This window comes from Homo sapiens, chromosome 15 (assembly GCF_000001405.40).
Source record: "Homo sapiens chromosome 15, GRCh38.p14 Primary Assembly".
Taxonomy (NCBI): Eukaryota; Metazoa; Chordata; class Mammalia; order Primates; family Hominidae; genus Homo; species Homo sapiens.
This window is the reverse complement of record NC_000015.10, coordinates 72,000,220-72,027,682: the sequence shown is the minus strand read 5'-3', so window position 1 is coordinate 72,027,682 and position 27,463 is coordinate 72,000,220. Positions and strand designations below refer to the sequence as shown.

Genomic DNA, 27,463 nt, shown 5'->3' with positions numbered 1-27,463 from the left:
GCAGACTGACTTTTAAGGTCTTTGTGTATTATGACCCTTAATTCAGTTTACGTCATGCATAGCTTTATGCATAATTGCTATTTCTGTCATGGGCAGAACTTTGCAGTTTTTCAGAGGCTGCTAGGAGATCTTTATTTGGTATATAGAACTATTGCAAACTGTCAGAACAAGTAAGCAGTTTCTCAGTTGTTCCTCATTCCTCTTGGTGAGCAATGTGCCTTGGGACTTTGCTCCCATTTCCTTAGTGTTCTTTTTCTAACTTGAGAAAAAAAATTTTCAATAAAGCTCTTAATTCCATTGTATTACTTGAGGTATACAGGTCTTTAGAGATGATATATGTGGTATCCTTCAGATGGAGAAATAAGATAAAGAAGTAAATTCATGATTTGTTTCATGCTACAGTGAGATTTGGTTAAGAGAGGGTTTGACTTCCATTCAAATATTGGGTATGCCTTGGGCATCTCATTTAACTTTTCTGCTTCTTGGTTATTTATTCCCATTTTACAGATAGAAAACTATTAGTAACTTTTTCTAACACATTTTAATGATAATGAAATAAGGGTATATAACTCTTATTTCCTTGGTTTTGGAGAATGAATGAGAGGTGAAATCCAGTTTTTACAAACCAATTCTCTAGAAGAGTTTGTGAAGGATTGGGTTAATTCTTTAAACATTTGGTAGAATTCACCAGCAAAGCCATCTGGTTCTGACTTTTATTTGTGTGAAATTTTGATTATTAATTGAAACACTTTAGTTATTATAGATCTGTTCAGACTTTTTGTTTCATCTGTGGTCAGATTTGGTAGTTTTTATCTTTCTAGGAATTTGTCCATTTCATCTAGGTTATCTAATTTGTTGCCAAAACTTGTTTTATAGTATCCCTTACAATCTTTTTTGTTTATGTAAGATTGGTAGTAATGTTCCGCTTTCATTCACTCCTGAATTTGATTCTCTCTGCTTCTTTCTCTGTCTGTCTCATCAGTTTAGATAAAAGTTTAATTTTGAAGATCTTTTCAAAGAACCGATCTTTAGTTTCATTGATGTTCTCTATTTTTTTTCCTATTTCCTATTTCATTTATTTCTGCTCTGATGCTTATTATTTCCTTCCTTCTGCTTGCTTTGGGTTTAGTTTGCTTTTTTTTCTAGTTTCTTAAGGTGGATGGTTAGGTTATAGATTTGAGATCTTTTTTATATGGGTTTACAGGTATAAAGCCCCTCTAAGCACTGCTTCAACTGTTTTCCATGTATTGGTGTAGTGTTTTGTTTTTGTGCATCTTGGAGTATTTTATAATTTTGCTTGTGACTTCTTTAACCCACTGGTTATTTAGGAATGTGTTGTCAAATTTCCATGTATTTGTATTTTGGAAATGTGATTTCTTTTCTTTCTTTTTTTTTTTTTTTTTTTTTCTTGAGACGGAGTCTTGCTCTGAGGCACGGGCTGGAGTGCAGTGGTGAGATTTCGGCTCACTGCAAGCTCTGCCTCCTGGGTTCACGCCATTCTCCTGCCTCAGCCTCCCAAGTAGCTGGGACTACAGGCGCCTGCCATCACGCCTGGCTAATTTTTTGTATTTTTAGTAGGGGCGGGGTTTCACCATGTTATCCAGGATGGTCTCGATCTCCTGACCTTGTGATCTGCCCGCCTCAGCCTCCCAAAATGTTACAGGCGTGAGCCACCATGCCTGGCCGTGGAAATGTGATTTCTTATTTCACTGCAAAGTGTTTGGAGTAGTTGTATGATTTCAATCTCCTTAAATTATTGAGACTTGTTTTGTAGTAGACTACACATGGTCTACCCTGGAGGATACTCCATGTGGACTTGAAAAAATATATGAATATATCCTCCTTATGTTGACTGGAGTGTTCTATAAACATATGTTAGGTCTAATTGGTATATAGTAATTTTGAAGTCCTCTTTTTCTTGTTCATCTTCTGTCTAGTTGCTTTCTTCATTATTGAAAGTGGAGTATTGCAGTCTCTCAGTATTATTGTTGAATTGTGTGCTTCTTCTCTTAGTTCTGTCAAGTTCTTTTTGTGGCCGGGTGCACTGGCTCACTCCTGTAATCCCAGCACTTTGGGAGACCAAGGCAGGCAGATCATTTGAGATGAGGAGTTTTAGACCAGCCTGGCTAACATGGTGAAACTAAAAGTATAGAAACTATCCAGGTGTGGTTGCATGCGCCTGTATTTCCAGCTACTTGGGAGGCTGAGTCAGGAGAATCGCCTGAACCTGGAAGGTGGAGGTTGCAATGAGCCGAGGTCTCGCCACTGCACTCCAGTCTGGGTGACAGTGCGAAACTCCATCTCAAAAAAAAAGTTTTTTTGCTCAATGTTTTTTTGGGCTCTGTTCTTAGACACACATTTATGTATATTTTAAATTGTTATGTCTTCTTGATGGATTGGCCCTTTTGTCATTATAAGATGGCCTTCTTTGTCCCTAGGAACAAGTTTGGTCTTTATTTTACCTGATATTAGTAATAATTAGTAATTATTGTTTTATCTGGTATTCTCTAGCTTGCTTTTGGATATTGCTTGCATGGTAACTTTTTTTTCCATCTTTTTATTTTTAACCTATTTGTGTCTTTGAGTCTAAAGCTTGTCTCTTGTAAACAGTATGCAGTTGGACCATACATTTTCCTTTTATCCATTCTGCCATTTATCTACCTTTAGATTAGAGCATTTGATCTACTTAATGTAATTATTGATAAGGTAGGATTATTAATACCATTTTGCTGTTTGTTCTCCATATGTGTTACGATTTTTTTTTGTTCTTCTGTTCTTCTATTCCTGCCTTCTTTTGCATTAAATAAATGTTTTCTAGTGTACCATTTTAATTTCATTGGCATTTCTTTTTATTATTTTTTATATTCTTATTGGTTACCTTGGGCATTGTAGTTAAAATCTGATAACAATGTAGTTTGGAATAATGACAACTTAATTTTGATAGTATACAACAAACTTTGTATGTAGTTCTATTCCTTTCTTGCTCCTTTGTCCTGTAATTGTTATGCAAATTACTTCTTTATGGTGGTACATCCATCAACACATTTATAATTACTGCTTTATGTAATTTCTCAAGTTTAATAGGAAAAAAGTGTTATACATAAAAAATAGGCCAGGTGCAGTGGCTCCTGCCTGTAATCCCAGCACTTTGGGGAAGCCAAGGTGGGCAGATCACTTGAGGCCAGGAGTTCGAGACCAGCCTAGACAACATGGCAAAACCTTATCTCTACAAAAATTAGCCAGGTGTGGTGATGCACGCCTGTAGTCCCAGCTACTTAGGAGGCTGAGGTGAGAGGATCACTTGAAACGAGATAGAGGTTGCAGTGAGTCGAGATCATGCCACTGCACTCCAGCCTGGGCAACAGAGTGAGATCCTGTCAATCAATCAATCAATGAGTTAATTAATTTATACTATCTTTTATATTTACCTATGTAGTTACTTTTACCAGTGTTCTTTATTTCTTCATGTTTAATTGAATCTTGTCTAGTATCCTTTTATTTCAGTCAGAAAAATGAACTCCCTTTAGTATTTCTTGTAAGGACCATCTATAGCTGTGAAGTCCAACTTTGTTTATCTGGCAGTATTCTAATTTCTCCTTTATTTTTCCTGGATATATACTTCTTGATTGACAATTTTTTTTTCCTTTCAACGTTTTGAATACGTTATCTGTCTGCCATGGTTCGTGATGAGAAATCAGCTGTTAATCTTATGTTAGGATTCCTTGATGAGGAATTTCTCTCTTGGTGCTTTCAAAATTCTTTGTCTTTGCCTTTCAAGAATTTTGGTTTGTCAAAATGTGGATTTGAGTTTATACTCTCTAGAGTTCATTGAATTTCTTGGATGTGCAGATTAATGTTTTCCATCAAATTTGGAGAGAGATTTTGGCAATTGTTTTTTCAAGTATTCTTTATGTCCCTTTCTTTTTTCTCCTTTTAGAACCCCCAGTATAGGAGCCTTTTTTTCTTTTCTTTTTTTTTTTTTTTTTTGAGACAGAGTTTCATTCTTGTCGCCCAGGCTGGAGTGCAATGGTGTGATCTCAGCTTAGTACAACCTTCGCCTCCTGGGTTCAAGTGATTCTCCTGCCTCAGCCTCCTGAGTAGCTAGGATTACAGGTGCCTGCCACCATGCCCAGCTATTTTTTTTGTAATTTTAGTAGAGACGGGGTTTCACCATGTTGGCCAGGCTGGCCTCGAACTCCTGACCTCAGGTGATCCACCCACCTCTGCCTCCCAAAGTACTGGGGTTATAAGCGTGAGCTGCCTTAAACTCCTGACCTCAGGTGATCCACCCACCTCCACCTCCCAAAGTGCTGGCATTATAGGTGTGAGCCACCGTGCCTGCCATAGGAGTCTTTTTAATGGTGTCCCACAGGTCTCTGAGACCTTGTGGTCTCCATTTTATTTTTTCTTCTGTTCCTTAGACGAGAGTCAATTGACCTGTCTTCATGTTTGTTGATTTTTTCTTCAAGTTCACTGGTTCTTTCTTCTGCCTACTCATATTTGCTGTTGAGCTCCTCTGGATACTTTTTCATTGCAGTTATATTTTTCAACTCCAGAATTCTTTTTGGATTAATTTCTTTAAAGTCCTGTATATTAGTCTCTATTTGGTGAGATAGCGTTCTCATAGTTTTCTTTAGTTCATTAAATGTGACTTTCTGTAGTTCATTGAACACGTTTAAAATAGCTGATTAAAATCTTGTAAGTCTAATGTCTGGGTTTTTTCAGGGACAGTTATTAATTAATACTTTTTCTACTTTGTATCGGCTATACTGTCTTCTTTCTTTGCATGCCTTATAATTTTTTGTTGTTGTTGTTGAAAACTGGATTTTTTTTGGCTGGGTGTGGTGACTCACGCTTGTAATCCCAGCACTTTGGGAGGCCAAGATGGGTAGATCACCTGAGCCCCCACGAGTTCGAGACCAGCCTGGGCAACACGGGGAGACTCTGTCTCTACAAAAAATACAAAAATTAGCCAGATTTGGTGGTGCACACCTGTGGTCCCAGCTACTAGGGAGGCTGAAGTGGGAGAATCACTTGGGCCTAGGAGGTCAAGGCTGCAGTGAATCATGAGCATGCCACTGCACTCCAACCTGGGTGACAGCTATCCTGTCTCAAAACAAAAACGAAACAAAACACAACAAAATTGGATTTTTTTTTTTTTTTGAGACAGAGTCTCGCCTTGTCACCAGGCTGGAGTGCAGTAGCGTGATCTCGGCTCACTGCAACCTCCGCCTCCTGGGTTCAAGCGATTCTCCTGCCTCAGCCTCCCAGAGTAGCTGGGACTACAGGCGCACGTCATGATGCCCAGCTAATTTTTGTATTTTTAGTAGAGACGGGGTTTCACCATGTTGACCAGGATGATCTCGATCTCTTGACCTCGTGATCCACCCACCTCAGCCTCCCAAAGTGCTGGGATTACAGGTGTGAGCCACCACGCCTGGCCAAAAAATTTGATTTTTAAAATAATATAATGTGGCAGCTCTAGAAATGAGTCCTCTCCTTCCCAGGGTTTGATTGTTGCTTTTATTCCTACTGTCTGATTGTTAATTGTGACTTTTCTGAACTAATTTTATAAAGTTGATATTCTTTTTTGAGTGTGGCTATTGAAGTGTCTGCTTATTTAACTTAGATGTCAGGTAATAACTGGACAGATATTTATTTAAATGCTTGGAAACAATAAGTAAGTCTCTCACTCTTTGCCACAGGGCTCTCTATGTATATTGTTCCATGCCTTCAACACTCAGCTAGGTATTTCACAAATCTACCTTAGCCTTTATTTTCTGCTTGTGCAGGGTTTCAAAGTTAACCAGAGGTGAGAGTTTATATTTCATCTGTTATTTTTCTGAGAGCACACACAACCCTGGGCATGTCCACAGCATTATGCATGCATATGACCTTCTAGATTCCCAGGACATTTACTGGAGGTTTTCAAAGCCAGCTTTTCCTTTTAAGTTTCTTGGTTAGCCTATTGTTTGCCCCAACTTTGATCCACTGCTTTAGGAAGTAGGCTGTTCAGCGATTGCCTCAGTTTCTATGGATGCCTCTGGGGAAAAGATCTTTGCATGATATGAAGTCCGAATTGAATCTTGTAGAGTCAGCCTTGAATATGGCTGTTCACAGAGAACCACCAGACAGTTCAAATAATGATATTTCTTAGGGAATGAGGCTTTGAACAAGCTCAAACTCTGTTCTGACCTTTCTGGTAGCTGTCAGGCTTCTCATCTCCAAGTTTGCAGGCTGTTGGTTTTCAAGGGGATGGAATAGGGCAAGTTTAAAACACTACAAAGCCATTTTTATTGAGATTTAGCTCTTTTTATTGAGTAAACACTCTCTGGGTTGTTGCAAGCTTTCGATTAGTTTCCACAGTTCTGAAAAGGTTAATTATGACAGATTTGCCAGATTTCTCATTGGTTTTATGGAGAAGAGAATTTTCAGAGGTCCTAACTTTGTTAACTTTGCTGCCTTCATCCCTCTCTTTTGTATTCCACATCCAAAACATCATTCAATTTTTAGGAGTACTTAAACGCTGAATTTATCACATTTATATTAAAAAATGAAGCAAAGCTGATACATTTTACTAATTACTGTTTGCTTCCCCCCTCCCCCTGTTAAATGATAACCATAAGTCACACATTATGAAACTTGTACTTCTTTGTTTCCCACAGGAACTATCATGTATTCTATTACCTCCTGGCAGGAGCAAGTGAAGATGAGAGATCAGCATTCCATCTTAAGCAACCAGAGGAATATCATTATCTCAATCAGGTGAGAGTTCATAAAAAGCATTTTGAAGTATAGGGCAGTATTAAATTTAATGCTTGAAAAATGTCTTTTTTCTAGTACTTTCTCAAACCTAGGAATGGATTAGCTAGCATTTTCATATATGTACTCTACAAATTTAGGTGATGCAGTTCTCAAATTTGAGGATGATTACCATCCTCATATAAATGTTAAAAGCTCAGATAATATATGTGCTTTTCGTTTTCTGTGAGATTCTTTGGGAAAATAATAATAAGCTGTTTATTGATATTTCTACTGTATTAGAAAAATGCTTTACTTTTACTAAAGTGATTTACCTTTTACAACCCCCAGGATATTAAATGTTACTAATGATTAATTCTTGTCCTTTGCAAGGGATTACTTGAAACCTAATTTGCATGTTTTGAAGTCTCATACACATACGTCTTTGCATGATACTATGACACTGACTTAGAGTATGACTATTTTTATAATTTAATGAACAATCTTCTTAAATATTCAGTATGAAGGTCATCAAAGGCAAATGACTTAGAGAATTTGGATCTTTCCTCAAAACTCAAAATTCATCCCTAAACTTCCACATTGAGGAGTAATTCTTACTTTTCATTACATTGACTTTACTAATTTTATTATTTCTCATAATAACAGAAATTTTACAACCAGCACTAATGGAATTAGTAAAACAATAGGTCATTTAAATAATAGATGTCTCCCCTTATTTTTCCATTGTTGGAGGCAAGATGTAATGTCTACGGAAATAAATCCCTTTATGACCATTAAAAAAATCCTTACGAAGCTTTTGTAAACAAATTGACACTTTGATGATGGTTCAGATAGCAGTATATATTTAGGGTTATGAAAGTTACATCTTTGGCTGAGTGCAGTGGCTCACACCTGTAATCCCAGTACTTTGGTAAGCTGAGGCAGTTGAATCACCTGAGGTCAGGAGTTCGAGACCAGCCTGGCCAACATCGTGAAACCTTGTCTCTGCTAAAAACACAAAAAAATTAGCTAGGTGTGGTGAGGCACGCCTGTAATCTCAGCTGCTTGGGAGGCCGAGGCACGAGAATCGCTTCAACCCGGGAGGCAGAGGTTGCAGTGAGCCAAGATTGTGCCACCGCACTCCAGCCTGGGCAACAGAGCGAGACTCCGTCTCAAAAAAAAGAAAAAAAGAAAGTTATACCTTTGGCTTTCTCCAAGTTAATACAGTGTGTTGTATTAACTGTTATTTCTTAATTTTGAAACTACCTATATTAATATAAACTAATGACTTTGTATTAATATATTGAGAATTCCAAGTTATTTAAAGTATCCATTTCTGATATAATATTATTAATTTTTACACATAGAATTAAATAGCTTTTCAAAAATATTTGCTAATTCAGCTTCTGAGTTTTTTCCTCCCCAGTTTAAACTATTTGCATTATATTTGGGTGATTAAAGATTTTCTTTTTTATAAAGTAATATTCTCTCATAAATGAGCTGATAGTTGTTAGTATTAGAGAAGTCTGGAATTTTGCTGTTCTTTCAGATCTTTTTGTAATTAATGACCATAATATATTCCTGTCATAATGTCAATATTCATAGGATATGGGACTCAGTTTATATAAATAACAGTCACTGGAGCCCATGGTATATATGCGTTCGGTAGTACAGTATACAGTCTCCCAGCATGTGAATATTTGCTTCATTATTTCTTGTTTTATGCTGCTATGCAAAATAACTTTTCAATGGAGAGCAGCAGTACTACTTGCACACCACATCTAAGAGATCATTAGAAGAGTATAATAACCATTACTTCTACCTAACTAATCTGCCTTACTTTCAGATAACAAAGAAACCCCTCAGACAGAGCTGGGATGATTATTGCTATGACTCTGAGCCGGTCAGTACAAGTACCTAAATATTCTGTGTTTCTGTCAAAGGGTCCTCACATTGCGCATTTGCATCCATCTGAAGATTTAGAATGCAAATCAGCTGAAATACAAAGAATCCTAGGAAGGAAGATAAATCAATGTTTCATTTCTTTTGAATGATTGATTTATATCTGTATAGTTTGTTGATTTAAAACCAGTTAATTTACTTTTTTTGGGCTATTTTCTGGTCATTAAGACTTAGTCCACATTCAATATTTATTTCGACAAACATTAAATTGATTATATTCCTGATTCTTCATCATTGCTGTGGATTTGTATGAACTATGGTTTTTTTCCCCTTTTATTTTTTAAAATTATTTTTTAGTAGTTTCATTACCTACATACTATGAGTAGTAATTATTGTTTATTTCAAAAAATTGCATTCTTTATGTTTTATATATCAACAGTCTTTACACATAATGAATGCATGTATATTTTTCTTTGATTTTTTTTCCCAGTAGCCAGAGTCTGTAGCCTTAATAAAATTATCCAAAAATAAGTATTGAAATTCCTATAAATAAGGTTTTTTTTAAATATTTATTTTTTGTGACAGAGTCTCGCTCTTTTACTGGAGTACAGTGACATGATCTTGGCTCCCTGCAACCTCCATCTCCTGGGTTCTAGCGATTCTCATGCCTCAGCCTCCCAAGTAGCTGGGATTACAGGCGTGCGCCACCATGCCCGGTTGATTTTTCTATTTTTAGTAGAGATGGGGTTTTGCCATATTGTCCAGGCTGGTCTTGAACTCATGGCCTCAAGTGATCTGCCCACCTTGGCCTCCCAAAGTGCTGGGATTACAGATATGAGCCACTATGCCCAGCCTATTTTATGTTGTAAATTGAGTGATTTAAGGGGATGTATGATGTAATATAAAGTGAATAGGTACATTTTGCTTTAATTTTTTAAAAATTATATTACTGTATTTTAATAAGTATATTTTTAAATTAAAGACAGAGTCTCACTATGTTGTCCAGGCTGGTCTTGAACCTCTGACCTCAAGTGATTCTCTTGCCTTGGCCTGTCAAAGTGCTGGGATTATAGGCATGAGCCACCATGCCCCGCTAAATTTAGCTTTATTTGTTATATTTTATGACAAGTTTGTAACCATAAAGAACACAAAAATTTTTTTCTTAAGTTTTCAATTAAGTTACTTGTAAAAAGGCTGAAAACACATACTAATCTTCCTATGTCTATTAATTAATGAATTAATTTATTAAATATTCTTTCTGAAAACATTTCTTAGTCCTTGCTTTAAAGAACCACAACTGTGATTCTCACAGCATGTTTATAAACTTTACTAATTGCATGACTAGCTTATTTCACAGGTGAGAATGATCAGTATACATGAATAATAATTTTTTTTAGAGAAATTTTAATTGTATTACTATTACATAACCAAGTAATTTTGGAGTTTAGATTTAACATTTTGGGGAAAAAAACACTTGACATATAAATTTATAGATTCTGATACATTTTAACAAAAAATTTAAGTTGTTTTTGCCATTCTTAAGAAGCTCCCCCTTTTCCTTTTTCACGTACTACACCAAGTGACCATGCCTCCTTGGAAAGCAGGTAGGGGACTGCAAACACATACTGCAAATAGAAGACTTGATCATCTGTTCTGAGCTTACAGTGAAGTTGTGAACTGATCTGCTACTTTTCAGAGATAGTCTAAGTAATACTTAAGAATTTGGGGGCCGAGAGTAGTGGCTCACGCCTGTAATTCAACACTTCTGGAAGCTGAGGTGGGAGAATTGCTTGAGACTGGGAGTTTGAGACTAGCTTGAGCAACAAGGCAATACCCTATCTCTACAAAAATTTAAGCCAGGTATAGTGATACACGCCTGTAGTTCCAGCTACTCAGGAGGCTGAGGCAGGCAGATTGCTTGAGCCCAGGAGGTTGAGGCTACAGCGAGACAAGATCACACCATTACACTCCAGCGTGGGTGACACAGCAAGACTCTATTTCAAAAAAAAAAAAAAAAAAAAAAAAAAAAGATTTGGGCTCTGAAGCAGAATGACCTAACATAAATATTGGCTGGCTTATTTTCCAGTTTCATTTATTTTAGGGGTTAATAATGGTCTTTAAGTTTTGTGAGTCTTAAAGTTGTGCATGTAAAGAACTTGATAGAGTACATAATCCTTAGTAAGTGCATAGTGAATGTTGTTGCCACCATTGAAGTCATCATTACCCATCTTTCCCTTTAGAAGAACTTTGTAGCCATAATCTCCTCTTCCCTTAATCATACTTTCATCACCATTATCCGTTTATTGTGTCTTAAAATCTATTATAGTTTGAAATTTAATTTCTGATTGTTTTTCTTATGTTAATTAATAAAAGCAAGCAGTCTGAGGATCTTTTATTCTTTCCTGTTAGCTCTTCCTCATAATATATTTGGGGACAAACTAAACTTTGTTTCCCTGTGAGTTATTAGAACTTATGTGACTAGCATCATAGGTAGAGAGGATTGTTTGAGGACTCTTCTGTTGTACTACATTACTTATGTATTTCGTGGAATTGTATAAATGGTCCCAAGGAGACCTATAGTTAGAAAATTGCTTTTTACAAGGTACCTGTTGTTGCCCTTGTGTGGTGATTTAGTTCCATTTAAGGGTTATCCTATTAAATAAGCACAAACAGCAGTGTTGCATGGGAGAGAGCAGAGGATTTGGAACTACATAGATTTTGGATTGGCCAGCCCTGTTATTTATAAGATTTTTTTTTTTAAGCTTTGGCAAGTTATTTAACCTGTGAATCTATTTTCTCTTCCGTAAATGTATATATAAGTATCTCCTTGTGTTCTGAGGTTTTAGTAACTCATGGTGACTGACATGTAGAAGAATATTTAATAAATGTTAATTTCCCCTCTTCAAGTGGTAATAATCTATTAAATGTCTTTTTATTTTTATTATTATTAACATCTCAGCCTTTGTTTCCTCAGTTATAAAATATGGAGAATGAATTAAATACTGGTAATATGTTGGCTGATGTCTGCCATTGTACCTTAAAGCTGATCTGAGGCTGGGCGCAGTGGCTCACACCTGTAATCCCAGCACTTTGGGAGGCTGAGGTGGGCGGATCACGAGGTCAGGAGATTGAGACCATCCTGGCTAACACGGTGAAACCCCGTCTCTACTAAAAAATACAAAAAATTAGCTGGATGTGGTGGCGGGCGCCTGTAGTCCCAGCTACTCAGGAGGCTGAGGCAGGAGAATGGCCTGAACCCGGGAGGCAGAGTTTGCAGTGAGCCGAGATCACGCCACTGCACTCCATCCTGGGCGACAGAGCGAGACTCTGTCTCAAAAAAAAAAAAAAAAAAAAAACCTGATCTGAGTAACTTCAATGTAAAGGGTCGGTCAGCCTCACCAAACTCTTTTATTTATCTGAGCCATGAATTTTAGGGTCCAACTATTAGGTAGGGTTTTAATGGTCATTGCCATAAGTGATAGTCTCAGGACACTGTTGGTTCCACCATGCTGCAAAGGGATTTGACCTGTATTATTCTGTGGAGACAAAGCTCCAACTTTGGTCACTACTACCTTTACAGGAATCCAAACATCTATAAATCTGTGGAAGCTCGTTTCCTATGAGGTAGACCTCCTATAGTGCTTTCAGAGATCATGATGCAACTTGGGCAAGATACCCTGAAACCATAATGTTTTCATCTACTCTGTTTTAAGTATTTTTGCAGTATAAAGATTCCTACTGCCAAAACCCATCTGTCAGTTTGTAAGTTTGTGGTCACGCCCTTAAACATGTCTTTCTGGCTTTATTCCTTACCCTCTGCCGGTCTAGTATAAGGTCTCTGCATACTCCACAACTTTCTCTGCATATATTTTTCTGTTTAAAAAGCACTTCACATCTGGCCAGGTGCGGTGGGTCACGCTTGTAATCCCAGCACTTTGGGAAGTGGGTGGATCACTTGAGGTCAGGAGTTCGAGACCAGCCTGGCCAACATAGTGAAACCCTGTCTCTACCAAAAAAAAAAAAAAAAAATTAGCAGGGCGTGGTGATACGTGCCTGTAGTCCCAGCTACTCAGGAGGCTGAGGTGAGAGAATCACTTGATCCCAGGAGGCAGAGGTTGCAGTGAGCCAAGATTGCACCAGTGCACTCCAGCGTGGGTGGGCAGAGTGAAACCCTGTCTCAAAAAAATTTAAAAAAAGCACTTAACATCCTCTTTTCTTCTCTTTTCTTTTCTTTCTTTGTTTCCTTCCTTCTTTCTTTTCTTTCTTTCTCTTTCTTTCTTTCTTTCTTTCCTTTCTTTCTCTCTCTCTCTCTTCTCTTCTTTTCTTTTCTTTTCCTTTTCTTTCTTTTCTTTCTTTCATGGTATCTCGCTCTGTCACCTAGGCTGGAGCACAGTGGCACCATATCAGCTCACTGCAACTCCCACCTTCTGGGTTCAAGCGATTCTTCTGCCTCAGCCTCCTGAGTAGCTGGGATTACAGGTGCCCGGCACCACGCCTGGCTAATTTTTGTATTTTTAGTAGAGATAGGTTTTCACCATGTTGGCCAGGCTGGTCTTGAACTCCTGACCTCAGGTGATCTGCATGCCTCAGCCTCCCAAAGTGCTGGGATTATAGGCATGAGCCACCGTGCCTGGCCACTTGTCTCTATTTCTTAAAATGGTACTTAAGAAATCATACATTTTTATAACTACTAGTGTAGAGTGCAGGACATAAACTGGAACAATTGACTTTGAAGGTTAGTAAAGATGCTGGAGATCACTTAAGAAAAAAGGAGATAAATAACATAGGCTTGGTTGGAATCCCAGCTACACTATTAACAAGCTTCACCACCATAGGAGCAATTGGCTTAAATTGTGAGCCAATGCTGCTTGCTGCTTGTGTGAAAGGCAATCATAACTACCACCAGAGGTTTTATAAGGATCAAATATAATATGGAACTGGACAGTGTCTCATGCTTGTAATCCCAGCACTTTGCAAGGCTGAGCTAGGCAGATCACTTGAGCCCAAGAGTTTAAGACCAGCCTGGGCAACATGGCAAAACACTGTCCCTCCAAAAAAATATAAAAATCAGATGGATGCTGTGGTGTAGGCCTGTAGTCCCAGCTATTCCTCAAGAGGGTGAGGTGGACCACTTGAGCCCAGGAGGCGGAGGTTGCAGTGAGCTGGGATTGTGCCACTGCACTCCAACCTCGGCAACAGAGTGAGACTCCATCTCAAAGAAAAAAGAAAAAGAGACAAGATAGTATGATTTCTTAAGTACAATTTTAAGAAATAGAGACAAGATAGAAGAAAATATCTAATTTGACTCTTCTCTTTCTCTCCCTCACACCCACACTAATTGCCTACTCCATGCTAGGTTTATCCTAGGCATTTGTAAATGGGAAAGTGTGTCACCTTACAGAAAGAGCAAGGTCTGATAGCATGAAAGAGCATTTGGTGGGTATGTTTGTGGGGGGAATGTAGTGGCATGTTATCAAGTACAAACAAGAACTTATATGGAGCTGACAGAAGGATTGCCTATGTTCTTTCAGTGGAAGGGGTTGTAACAGTTGTTGGTTAGTTCCCTGCCTTATCCTTGGAACGAACCTTACCATTTCCTTGAACTCTGGCTGACCAGTATTTGGATCCTGGGGCCTGAAGGCTTTTTCCAGAACCCTGGAAGGCCTTGGCATTTGTAGGGCCCTCTAGAAGTGACTTGGGAATTAACAGCTGCCTGCTCCCTCTCCAGAAGTCTTCAAACAATGACTGATGAGAGATGAGATGGTATATAAATAAATACAGTAGCTCCCTCACCTCTGTAGGTTTTATATTGTTTCCCAGAGATAACCTTGGGATTAAACTCCATTTAACTACTTTCATAGTAGTTAGCACAGACTGTTTAGTCTGTCTTCTCTTTTACTTTCTCACTTTCTCTGTGACTTGTATTTGACTCTTGGTCTGTCTCAAGATCTGCCTCCCAGGGAGCCCAAATTAAGATAAAGTCATTTCTGTTCTGGGAGATTTAATTTATCCTTAGTTTTTCTTCTACAGTTATCATCAGAGAAACAGAGAAGGAAATTAATACACATTTTTTTTAAACTATGATTTTGATATTCACTGAGACCACTTTGGGTTTCTAAGAACATTTGATTAAGGATAAGAGCAAATACAAACATATTTTAGTGCCTCTTTCAGTGTACTTTCCCACTATTTTATATACATTAATTGTTCCATTCACTTTCGGGGAAGATTAGAACACTGTTAGTTAGAAGAATCATTATTGACACATGTGGAAGCATAGATTCCCCCTGCCTTGCCACTTGTAATAGGAAAATATTTGTTAAATCATAAAGTGAATGAACTGTTTGTGTTTTGAGACTAGGGGGAAGAGTAGCAAGAGAGCTTTTTACAAAAGGTTACTTACTATAGGTAAAAGAAGAATGTGTTTAAAAATTTATCTTAGGGCTGGGTACGGTGGCTTACTCCTGTAATCCCAGCACTTTGGGAGGCTGAGGCGGGTGGATCACCTGAGGTCAGGAGTTTGAGACCAGCCTGGCCAATGTGGTAAAACCCCGTCTCTACTAAAAAATATAGGAAAATTAGCCTGGCATGGTGGCACGCACCTGTAATCCCAGCTGCTTGAGAAGCTGAGGCAGGGGAATTGCTTGAACCCGGGAGGCAGAGGTTGCACTGAGCAGACATCGCGTCATTGCACAGCAGCTGGGCAACAAGTGCGACACTCCATCTCAAAAAAAAATTATTTTAATGAGTAGGACATTGGCATGTCAGTAGAATGTCTTAAAATTGCTTATCGAAAGCAATTTTATAGTAATAAAATTAAATGCATGGGTTCTCAGAAAGAACTTTACTTGTGGTGAATTTAAATTTTTAAACTATGCATGTGTAGCTTTCCATGTAGAGAATAAAAATATTGGTAACAGCATTTCAAAACTTTATTTTAAACTTTAGATATTCATTAACTAATGCTTACAGTGCCTAAAACAGATTTTCTTGTACATGGTAAATACTTGATAAATACTTTTTATAAAACAAATGAGCACTTTATTTCTGAAAAAGGAATGTTTCATTCAATTCAATATTTATATATTATTCAATAATTCAATGACTATGTATTTACCTAAATAATGACTTGTTTTTGGCACTGACTTCGCACTGGGGATCTGCAGTTAATAAGACAATTAACAGTTCATATACTTCACCAAGTACTTGAGAGAATATTCCCTAGGAAGATAGGCATTAAAAATGTAAATGCAAATGTGAGGAGGTTTTTGAAAGTGCAAGGGACTGTGAGAACTTACAGTAAAGAGATTTATGACTCACTTATTGTTTTGAAGATTTAGAGTATGTCTACCACTGTTTGACTATTTTAGGAACTGAAATGCAAGGATTATGCTTAAAAAGTAGTATTTATTAATCTGGTATTCCACAACAATTTTTTTTTTCTTGAGATGGTGTCATGCGTGTTGCCCAGGCTGGTCTCAAACTCCTGAGCTCAAGCAATCCTCCTACCTCAGCCTTCCAAGTAGCTGGGATTACAGGCATGTGTGACTATTCACAACTAGTTTTACTGACTCATCTGATGTGTTTTCTGAGGGTTTTTATACTTTCACATATACTTCTTTCTTTCCTTGTTTGATTACCATGTTGTCTGTTATTTCATTAGGAAATAATTACATATATAAAATATATAAATAATTATATATGTATATATCTAATGTAGATGTAACAGGCTGGGCACAGTGGCTCACGCCTGTAATTCTAGCACTTTAGGAGGCCTAGGTGGGTGGACTGCTTGAGTCCGGGAGTTCAGGACTAGCCTGGGCAATGTGGTGAAACCATGTCTCTATTAAAAATACAAAAAACTAACCGGTCATGGTAGGACTAGCTGGGTAGTTCCAGTTGCTTGGGAGGCTGAGGTGGGAGAATCACCTGAGCCCGGGAGGTCGAAGCTGCAGTGAGCCAAGATCATGCCACTGTACTCCAGCCTGAGCAACAGGAATGAGACCCTGTCTTAAAAAAAAAAAATAACATATCTATATAGATCTATATAAATATAGATTAGATAGATGTAACAAACTATATTACGTAAATCTGGGGTTCACTCTTCAACTAAATTATTGCCTCTTCTAAAATTTATTTTTGTGTCACTAATATCTAGTTCAGTGCCTTACATAGGGTAGGCACTTGTTAAATATTTGTTGAATAAATAGTATTTGCTGGTAGAATTGAGCGCCCGTAAATGCTTTGAATTTCTGAAACCCTTTAGAACCACTCAAAATCAAACTTAGTATCAGCACACTTACTGAGTACAGCTAACTCTTTATCTTAAGTTAACTTTTGAAATCCTAATCTTGGTGATTGTGAAAGGGAGAACAAAAGTAACTTATTGGTATTTTAGTAAGTATGTGTTTAGTTTCCATACCTGTAGTAAGATAAGAGGTCTAATGAATTTGACTAGGTCTTACTATTCTACCAGCTCTAATTTGCATTTATACATACAGGTACCTATCCTAAATTACCATATTTCTGAATGGCCCACATTATTTTAAAATATATAATCTTGATTTTTAAACTTTTATTTTAAATAAGCAGGATTGCTTCACGGTGGAAGGAGAAGATTTGAGACATGACTTTGAGCGCCTACAACTTGCCATGGAAATGGTAGGATTTCTTCCCAAGACACGAAGACAGTGAGTTTACTTGTTGTATTTTTATATCTCTAATAGAGAACACATGATATGTCTTTGAAAGATTTCTGCCGTTGACCTTTTTAAATAGTTTTCTAAGTGGTATTCTTCATCTAGTACCTCATCCATCTCGAGCATTATTTCTAATTCCTTTTTTTATCATAAATTATTTTGAGAATCTGATGAAAGCTGACACTGTTGTTGTAAAATGTACATCCTTAACAATTTGCATATAAATGCAGGAATTTATGGTGCCCCTGAAGCCTATCCATGGACCTTACTTAAAACTTTTGCTTTGTAACACTATTTTTATAGCTCTTCATTTTGTATATATCAGTGATCTCTAATCTTATTAAATTATGCATACTTATCAGATGCATAGTATTTAATTTTCAGTGTATTTCCTCTGTATAGTTTATATCTGTACTATACTATTAAGTTTTTTAATTGTAAATCTAAACAATTTAAAAATATAAAAATTTGAGATAAAGATGAGATAAATTATATTTGAAACAAATTATTTAAAATTAAAGACTCAACCTTGGCTCTCACCAGAAAGAAATAGTTACTTATAACTTTTTTGAAGGGGAGAGTCGTGCTGATGAATATGTCAGATCTGATTATATTGTTAATTTTTTTTTCTTTGTTTTTTTTGGAGACAGCATCTCACTCTGTCACCCAGACTGGAGTGCTCACTGCAGCCTCAACCTCCCCAGGCTCAGATGATCCTCCCACCTCAACTTCCCAAGAAGTTGGGACTGCAGGCTTGTACCATCACACTCAGCTAATTTTGTATTTTTTTTTTTTGCCATGTTGCCTATGCTGGTCTTGAATTCCTAGGCTCAAGTGATCTGCCTTTCTTGACCTCTGAAAGTGCTAGGATTACCAGCATGAGCCACTGCGCCCGCCCTCTGTTGTTAATTTTTAACCTCATGATTGATGACCCTATACTGAGAGTAGGAGAAAATCACCTCTCCTGTTTTCTTGTTTGCTTGCACTTACATCATTGGTATGACTCTTTAATTAGCAGGCTATTTACTAGAATCTTTTTATGAGAAGTCAATTAAAATCAAATAATACAATATGTAAGTTGGCATACCAACTCAATTGGTGACATAAACTACAGTTCAATGAAAATTAGTGAATTTCTATTAAAAATCATTTTTAAAAGAGGCTCATGAATTTGTTTTTGTCTTTTGACTTCCATTAGTTTTTATGTTTCAGTTGATAGTTTATTCTTTAATCCAGAATAACATTATTAATTATTTTTATAATAGACTTGTATTTCCTGTGAGTCACGTGAATGATTCAAAGATTTAAAAACTTTAAATTATTTGAAAAATTAGATTTATAAGTTAGATGGTGATTCAGTACCTCTCAAATGTTCCTAAGGTAATATCTCAGGTTCCTAAAGCAATATCTTTGTTTTAGTTGGAATACTTCCTAATTTTAGGAAAACATAGTGTTAAATTTTCATAAGCCAAATTTTGTAAGCCGTATTTATTCTAAGAAAATAACTGCATGTGACACAAAGCTGTATATATATAAGGAGACTGAGGAAGAGTTTTTCAGTGGATTGTTTAGCTGTGTTAAATGCCTCTGAGATGTCAGATAAGTCAATAACATAATATACTGTTCTTAGCTACATGGAGGTACTTGGTAACCTAAGGTTCCTGAATTAACAGGAGTTGATGGGATATATAGCATAAGTGGAGGGATTAGTTTTTGATTGGAGGGCACATACTCTTCTGACTCAGGAGGGAAATTTATAACGGAGGGTCCATATGAAGTTGTTTCACAGTAGAGGTTAATATACCCCACATGGCTTCATACTTACACACACACATACACACACACACACACCCATTTACCCCATTCACACACACACACACACACACACACACACACACACACACCCATTTACCTCAAACACCATACTATGGTATAGAAAAGCATTTTAACAACATAACTAATAATAAAAAATCAGCTAGGATACTTGATTTAAAAAATACAGATTCAAGGCCTTTCCTTTGGCAATTCTGATTCAGTGTATCTGAAACAGTGTAGGAAAAAAGCATTCCTGGCAGGATAAATAGCATTTAGAGAGGCATGGCCTTTTTAAAACACTGTAAACACTGTGACAAATTCAGGCAATAGCAGAAGTCCCTTTGAAATGACTATATAAGAAGTGGTATACTTAAGGCCATGAAAAGCATTTTGAACAGTACCTGACATATAAGTAAACCCTCAGTAAATTTTAGTAATTATTCCCATATTGCTTATTTTCCAAAGACTAAATACTTCATATTTGTAGGTTAATTTGCTTAACTAGAATTTTAGAATGAAATGAGCTTTGGGAATGGACACAACTAAGCTATAATTTGTGTTTTATTTTCCCAGGATTTTCTCTCTTCTCTCAGCCATACTACATTTGGGTAATATCTGTTACAAAAAGAAGACATACCGGGATGACTCCATTGATATCTGTAATCCTGAAGTTCTGCCTATTGTCTCAGAATTATTAGAGGTGAGTGATTACATTTTCAGTTGTCATTTCAAATCTTTGTAACTTTTTATTTTTTATTTTGTGTATTTTGTAGGTGTAAACGGGTTAATGCTTTCTGTTAATAATGCTTTTATTAGGCACTATTTTTAAATAGCATTTCCAAAAGATCTAATTTTTCCTGATACCTGCCTCAGTTTGCTATTGGATGTGGCAGAATCTTTATAAAATTTGTGTTTTCTCCTCTGCCTCCACTTGCTCCAGACATCCATAGTCCCTAAATTTGCTGGATAGGATGAATATTTCCACACTGGACTGTAATATTCTGGGACTATGCTAATTTTTCTCTTCATATTTGAGATTTCTTCTCATACTAAGATTTTGGTTAGATTATTTTGTTTCAAGATGGGGGTATTTGGGTGGGTGGAGAAAAAAGGATACTACTTTTTTTTTTTTCCCTTATGGGTTGAATAGGACATAAAGGTTCTCATCTCCTACCATGCTTCTTCTTACATCAAGGGCCTTTATTACCTGATTCTTTCTTCCTGGAGTGATGATTTATCATGTTTTCTTAGCTAATTTCTCTCTTGCCTACCCCTTCTCATCTTGCCAGATTTATCCCATCAGATGGGGTGTCATTTCTTATAGGCCCTATCGTCTGGCATAGCAAGGAAATATATGTGTGTATATACTAACCTGTGTATATCCACGTATCTATACATATTTTAATATGTAATCATCTGTATCTATATAAAGGTAAACATGAGTTCATGATAATGTCTCCAACTGTAATCCATTCCCCACGTGGATCATTCTAGCCTTCTTCCCTTGCTTATCTGTGAACTCCCGCTTCAACAGTGAGAAAGCTGTCTTCTGTCCTCTGCCATCCATTTACTTATTTGTTTAATTCCAGTATACATGTATAGTGGTATCAAAATTGTTAACCTGTACCCCTCTGGGAAATGACTTTTTCAACTAGAATACAGTGCTTATGAGCAATTCCTTCTGCCTTTAATCCTGCAGACTTCACTCATTTCCAAAATTACTTAGAACAGCACCTTTTCCTTCCACCCTATTTGTTGAGGTTTCATATATTTGTCATGCATGCTGTTTTCTTGTCATGGTCTACATTCCTTCGTGGAATCCCCCAATCTCTTAAATAATTTTTAATATTTGCATACATTAAGTTCCACTCTTCATGCTATTTGGTTTTTGACAGATGCAAGAAGTCATATGTCCACTATTATAGTATCATACAGAATAGTTTCACTGCCGTAAAAATCCCCTGTGCTTTACCTGTTCAGTCCCTCCCCCTAAACTGCTGGCAACCACTGATCTTTTTAGTAGATATATAGATTTGCCCTTTCCAGGATGTAATATAATTGAATCATGCAATATGTAGATTTTTCAGACTGATTTGTTTTACTTAGTAATACGCACTTAAGATTTATTTATGTCTGGCGGCTCATGCCTGCAATCCCAGCACATTGAGAGGCTGAGGCAGGTGAGTTGCTTGAACCCTAGGAGTTCAAGACCAGCCTGGGCAACATAGGGAGACCCTGTCTCTACTAAAAACAACAACAACAACAACAAAAAAAAAACACAAAAATTAGCTGGGCGTGGTGACGTGTACCTGTAGTCCCAGTTGCTTGGTAGGCTGAGGTGGGAGGCTTGAACCCCAGAGGCGGAGGTTGCAGTGACCTTAGATCGTGCCACTACACTCCAGCCTGGGTAACAGAGCGAGACCCTGTCTCTAGAAACAAAAAAAAGATTCATTCATGTCTTTCTGTGACTTGATAGCTCATTTCTGTTTATTACGGGGTAATATTCCATTATATAGATGTGCTATAGTTTATTCATTTATCTGTTGAAGGACATTTTGGTTGTTTCCAGTTTTTGACAGTTATGAATAACTTGCTTTTTTAAAAAATATTATTCATCTTCCAAATCTTGGTTCATAGGCCACTTCATGTGGTTTAACCTTAAGTGGTCTAAACTGACTCCCTAAATACAGAGCATTTGTTTCTACGTAGCATAATTTAGTTTTAGAGCATAAAGTTAATTATTAGTTTGTGTCTGTTGTAAGGCTCCAGTGCTCTTTGAGAGCAATAGATACCTCTTTCTTATTTATCTAACCACCCAGCGTTTATTTTTTCTGTACGTGATTGGGCATTGCTTATTAACTTCAGTGGAATGATAACCTGGCAGAGGAAGAGGCAGGGGAAGGGAGTACCTTGAATTGGAACTAGACTTACTGGAAAGAAGTTCTACCAGGAGATGGAGTGTGGTATCTGAGGGTTGTAATTTTGAAGATCATAAAGGCCAGAGAACAGATGGCATTTTAGTCAGGTATTTCAGGTGATATTTTAGTCAAGCATTTGGTATTGTGACAGGGCATTGTGGCTAATGGTCTTACTTATAAGTCTAGGCAGTTCAGCAGAAACCAGGGCTTCTGTTTCTAGTGCATCATTTCTTCTTTGGTAAGAGACTGATAAGAACAATTCAGGCAACTCAAAGAGGAACTCAGCTATAGGTTTAAAAAAAAGAGAGAAATCTAATTCTGAGAATTGGGCAAACCAGTATCAAAGACAATGGCAAATGGCAAATATGATTTGACAGAAAATCTTACTTTTGAACCCTGGCTTCTTAAATTTCTTCTTGTGTATAGTTTGGATTGGTTCTAGGGCTGAGGTTTAGTATTAAGTAGAAAGAAAATAGCTTCAAAGTTCAGGAGCTAAAGAAGATACCTATCCCATCTTTAGTTAGTACTTAGAAATTATTTTAGAAAATGATTGCCTCTAGTTGGTTAAGACTGATAATAATAATTGCAATCTTAAGGCTTTGGTTGAGATAGAGTACAAAGATAAGCACATTGACTGGATTATTTAACATTCAGACTCTTTAGTTGTGATTTAATTTAATTCCTCTCCTTCCCATGGTGATTTAATCCAATGCTAAATATAGAATAGAGGAACAAATGTTTTTAAAGTAGTGGTTTAACTTTATTTATTTACTTTTCAGTTATTTTTTTGTAGTTACCTGAGGCAATAATGAATGTTTTGAGCCTTTACTAATGCCTATTTGGCATGGATACTTGTGAAAATTATTGAAAGGTGAACAAGCTCCAGTTGATAAATTGTGGGTAATTGTGGAAGATGTTTTTGTTGTGAGATATTAGAACTATCATCATTACCAAAAACTGTTCAGTTTTTATCAGGTTTATGTATTTTGAGTATATTTTAACATCTGTTGAAACAATATAAAGAATAGGGTTTTTTTTTGTTGTTTTTTTGAGATGGAGTTTCGCTGTTGTTGCCCAGGCTGGAGTGCAGTGGTGCAATCTTGGCTCACTGCAACCTCTGCCTCCCGGGTCCAAGCCATTCTCCTGCCTCAGCCTCCCAGGTAGCTGAGATTACAGGTATGCGCCACCATGCCCGGCTAATTTTGTATTTTTAGTAAAGATGGGGTTTCACCATGTTTGTCAGGCTGGTCTTGAACTCCTGACCTCAGGTGATCCACCCGCCTTGGCCTCCCAAAGTGTTGGGATTACAGGCGTGAGCCACTGTGCCCGGCCAAGAATAGATTTTTAATTACATATCAGATTTTTAATTAGGTAAATATGAGAAGCTTTGTAGAATGGATATTGAACCCATTGCTACTTGTTCTGTATTAATAGTTTTTGAATATTCTAAAAGTAATATATTTAAGAATTTTTAGAAAATTATAGAAGAGCTGATTAAAAAATCGTGAATTGGGTAATATTTAGGATCCTTACCAAATATGATATGCAAGATTAGTATGTTTTGGGGTTGTGTGGGTATGCGTAGATCTATGTACAATCTTTGTCAGGTTTTTGTGCTAGGTAAAGAGAACTCATGAAATGAGTTGAGAGTTTTTGTACCCTTGCTCCTTTTTCTGCAATTAGAAGGATCATTAGCAGAGAATAATATGTTCCTCAAGGGTTTGAGAGAGGTCAGCCTTATGAGCAACTGTATTTGATGTCTTTTATTTGTTCCTTTTTAACTAATTTTTTAGGATTTTCAAATCTGGCTTGAGTTATTTGGATGATCTATGTTTTTCTAAAAATGATGTATTGGATATTTAGAATTTGTTGCTTTTGAGTTCTTATTTTTTTTTTTTTTTTTTGAGACGGAGTCTCGCTCTGTCGCCCAGGCTGGAGTGCAGTGGCGCAATCTCGGCTCACTGCAAGCTCCGCTTCCTGGGTTCACGCCATTCTCCTGCCTCAGCTTCCCGAATAGCTGGGACTACAGGCGCCTGCCACCATGTCCGGCTAATTTTTTTTTTTTATGTATTTTTAGTAGAGACGGGGTTTCACCGTGTTAGCCAGGATGGTCTCGATCTCCTGACCTTGTGATCTGCCCGTCTCGGCCTTCCAAAGTGCTGGGGTTACAGGCGTGGGCCACCGCGCCCGGCCTGCTTTTGAGTTCTTTGTAAATAGTCTGTTAATTTCACTCTTTAAAATTTTTCTCTATGGTATTAGCTATTTGTGTTTCTTAGTTTTTTTCTTTTGCTTTGTGTGAGATTTGTCTTTTATTTTTTTTTTACTTTTTTTTTTTTTTGAGACGGTATTTTGCTCTTGTTGCCCAGGCTACAGTGCAATGGTGCGATCTCAGCTCACCACAATCTCTGCCTCCCAGGTTCAAGCGATTCTCCTGCCTCAGCCTCCCGAGTAGCTGGGATTACAGGCATACACCACCACACCCGGCTAATTTTGTATTTTTAGTAGAGACGGAGTTTCTCCATATTGGTCAGGCTGGTCTCGAACTCCTGACTTAAGGTGATCCTCCCGCCTCGGTCTCCCAAAGTGCTGGGATTACAGGCATGAGCCACTGTGCCCAGCCATCTTTCATGTTTTCAAAGAGTTGGACTTTAGATTGATCAGTTCTAACATTTTACTTGTTACATATTAATTTGTTTTAGGATATTTTCTTCCTTTTTTCCTTGTTATGAAATGTTGCCAGCACACAATATTATATAGAAAACAATATAATCAACCCTTACAGCCCCACTCAAGTAATAAAATATTGTGTATAATTGAAGCCCACTGTGTACCCTTGTACCCTGTCTCCACCAGAGGTAACCACTGTTGTGAATTTGGTGTTCATCATTCCTACTCTTGTTTCTATATTTTCAGTATAGATAGATGTTTTTATAAAGAATACATAGTTTTGCATGTTTTCGGTCTTTATATAAATGTTACACTGTATATATTATTCTGAAACTTGGCTTTTTGTCATTCCATAGTATGTTTTTGAGATCTTTCAATGCTGATTTCTATATTCTATATTCTTCTTTTTTGTTGTTGTGTAAGAGTCCATGGTATGAGGCTGGGCACGATGGCCCACACCTGTAATCCCAGCACTTTGGGAGGCCAAGGCAGGTGGATTGTTTGAGTTTAGGAGTTCAAGACCCGCCTGGGCAACATGATGAAACCCCGTCTCTAATCCCAGCTACTCGGGAGGCTGAGGCAGAAGAATTGCTTGAACCTGGGAGGCGGAGGTTGCGGTGAGCCAGGATTGCGCCATTGCACTCCAGCCTGGGTAACAAAAGTAAAACTCTGTCTAAAAAAAAAAAAAAAAAAATTAGCTGGTCATGGTGGCATGTGCCTGTAGCTCCAGGCTGGGATGCAGTGGCACGATCATGGCTCACTGTAGCTTTGATCTCCTGGGCTCAAACAATCTTCCCGCCTCAGCCTCCTGAGTACTTGTGAGTTCAGGCACATTAAATTTTATTTTTAGTAGAGAGGAGGTCTTGCTGTGTTGTCCAACCTGGTCTTTAACTCCTGAGCTCAAGCAGTCCTACTGCCTTGGGATTATAGGTGTGAGCCACCTCACCCAGCCAATATTTACTTTTAATAATTGCAGCAATATACCTCACAATATAGCTTTGGATTTTATTACATTTTTTTTCTTAGCTTTGTTAGTTTTGTCATTTTTGTGTAATCTGATATTTTTGTTCTTTAATGTATTTTAAATAAATCTAAAAGGTTGAGGCCTTTTATTTAAAGTTCATTGTTGATTTTTGGCTTTACTGCGTTTTTGTGAAGTTAATATGCCTCAAATTATTTCCAGTTTTTGAAATTTGAGAGTTGATCAGTGAATGCTCTGAAAGGTGTTATATTTGCTAGATAATATTTATCCATTCAGTATGGTTAAAAGTTGTTCTTTAAAAGATTATTGATCTATCATATGTTGTTGGTGGCAGGATAATGCCTCTTCCTATCATTTTATAACTCAATCTCCTCCTTATAATCTATTTTTTTTTTTTTTTTTTTTGAGATGGAGTCTGACTCTGTCTCCTAGGCTGGAGTGCAGTGGTGTGGTCTCGGCTCACTGCAACTTCTGCCTCCCGGTTTCAAGTGATTCTCCTGCCTCAGCCACCCGAGTAGCTGTGATTACAGGTGTGCACCACCACATCTGGCTAATTTTTGTATTTTTGGTCAAGACAGGATTTCCCATGTTGGCCAGGCTGTTCTTGAACTCCTGACCTCAAGTGATCCGCCCACCTTGGCCTCCTAATGTGCTGGGAGTACAGTCGTGAGCTACCACTCACAGCTGTTATAATCTAATATTTTTTACCTGATAAATTTTTATATTGCCTACATTTATGAATGTTATGTTTTTATTATGTATGGATACTTTTATAAAATGTCCTTGTTTTACCACTTCATGCCCATCATCATGACAAAATTCTAAGGTCTGGTAACATTAAGTATAGTCAAGGTTTGGAAGAAATAAGAACTCTCAGTGCTACTGCTGAGAGAGCATATTGGTAAAAATTATATATAGGAGTTTGGTAGTATTCTCTAAAGCTGAAAATATGTATGCTCTAACCTTCTACTTTTAGGTTTGTTCTTCACAGAAACTTTTGAACTCATGTGCAACAATATTCATTGTGGTTTATTTTCTAATCATACAAAATTGTAAATCGTGTAAATGCCTACAAAGAGGAGAATGGATTACACACTGTGGTATATTTATATGCTGCAATGCTATGTAGCAGTTAAAATGAATAAGGTTGATTTAAATTATCGACATGGTGTGTGCCTGTAGTCCCAGCTGCTTGGGAGGCTGAAGCGGGAGGATTGCTTGAATCTGGGCGGTCGAGGCTGCAATGAATTGAGATCGCACCACTGCACTGCAGCCTGAATGGCAGAGTGAAACTCTGTCTCAAAAAATAATAATAATAATAAATTATCCACATAGTTAGATCTGAAGAACATATGGGCAATATGGTACTTTATAGATAAACATTAAAGTCATTTGACAGTATAGCATAGTGTTTATGAACATATTTAATACATGTAAAAGTGTAGAAATATTAACTGAAATGATAATGTGAAATTCATGATAGTATTTGCCTCTGGGGAGAGAGTGAGAACAAAGGAAGTGTCAACTTTATCTTAAAAGTTTATCATTCATGAATAAGAAGAAATATCTGAAACATAAGTATATTTTGGAATATTCCTAGAATTCAAGATTCATGAAGAAGAAATATCTGAAACATAAATAAATATCCTTTGGAATATTTCTGGAATTCAAGAAGTGCTGTCACTTTTTAGTCCTTGCCTCCAGCATGTGGGATTATGATTGATCATCTTAAAATGTTT

The 27,463-nt window shown here is 37.2% G+C and overlaps 1 protein-coding gene and 1 long non-coding RNA gene across 56 annotated transcripts in view; one reads left to right on the top strand and one right to left on the bottom strand.

Moving 5' to 3' along the window:
* Window positions 1-27,463, top strand: part of MYO9A (myosin IXA) — a 296,310-nt gene that overhangs the window by 90,918 nt on the left and 177,929 nt on the right. For 26 of the 50 annotated variants that reach the window (XM_047432576.1, XM_047432578.1, XM_011521615.4 and 23 more), the window contains 4 exons: window positions 6,666-6,765; window positions 8,588-8,644; window positions 17,236-17,333; window positions 19,731-19,857. In XM_047432576.1, coding sequence (XP_047288532.1) covers window positions 6,666-6,765; window positions 8,588-8,644; window positions 17,236-17,333; window positions 19,731-19,857 — 382 coding nt within the window. The remainder of the gene's footprint in view (window positions 1-6,665; window positions 6,766-8,587; window positions 8,645-17,235; window positions 17,334-19,730; window positions 19,858-27,463) is intronic. The other 24 variants (XM_047432553.1, XM_047432585.1, XM_047432571.1 and 21 more) reach the window with 1 other exon arrangement.
* MYO9A-AS1 (MYO9A antisense RNA 1) overlaps window positions 1-27,463 on the bottom strand; it is a 64,558-nt gene that overhangs the window by 9,082 nt on the left and 28,013 nt on the right. For 2 of the 6 annotated variants that reach the window (XR_007064702.1, XR_001751798.3), the window contains one exon: window positions 21,467-21,586. The exons of 1 other annotated variant lie outside the window; for it this stretch is intronic. This is a non-coding gene — a long non-coding RNA (MYO9A antisense RNA 1). Of the gene's footprint in view, window positions 1-15,246; window positions 16,654-21,466; window positions 21,587-24,233; window positions 25,416-26,732; window positions 27,019-27,463 lie in introns of those variants that run through there. 3 more of the 6 variants (XR_007064703.1, XR_007064705.1, XR_001751797.2) reach the window with 3 other exon arrangements.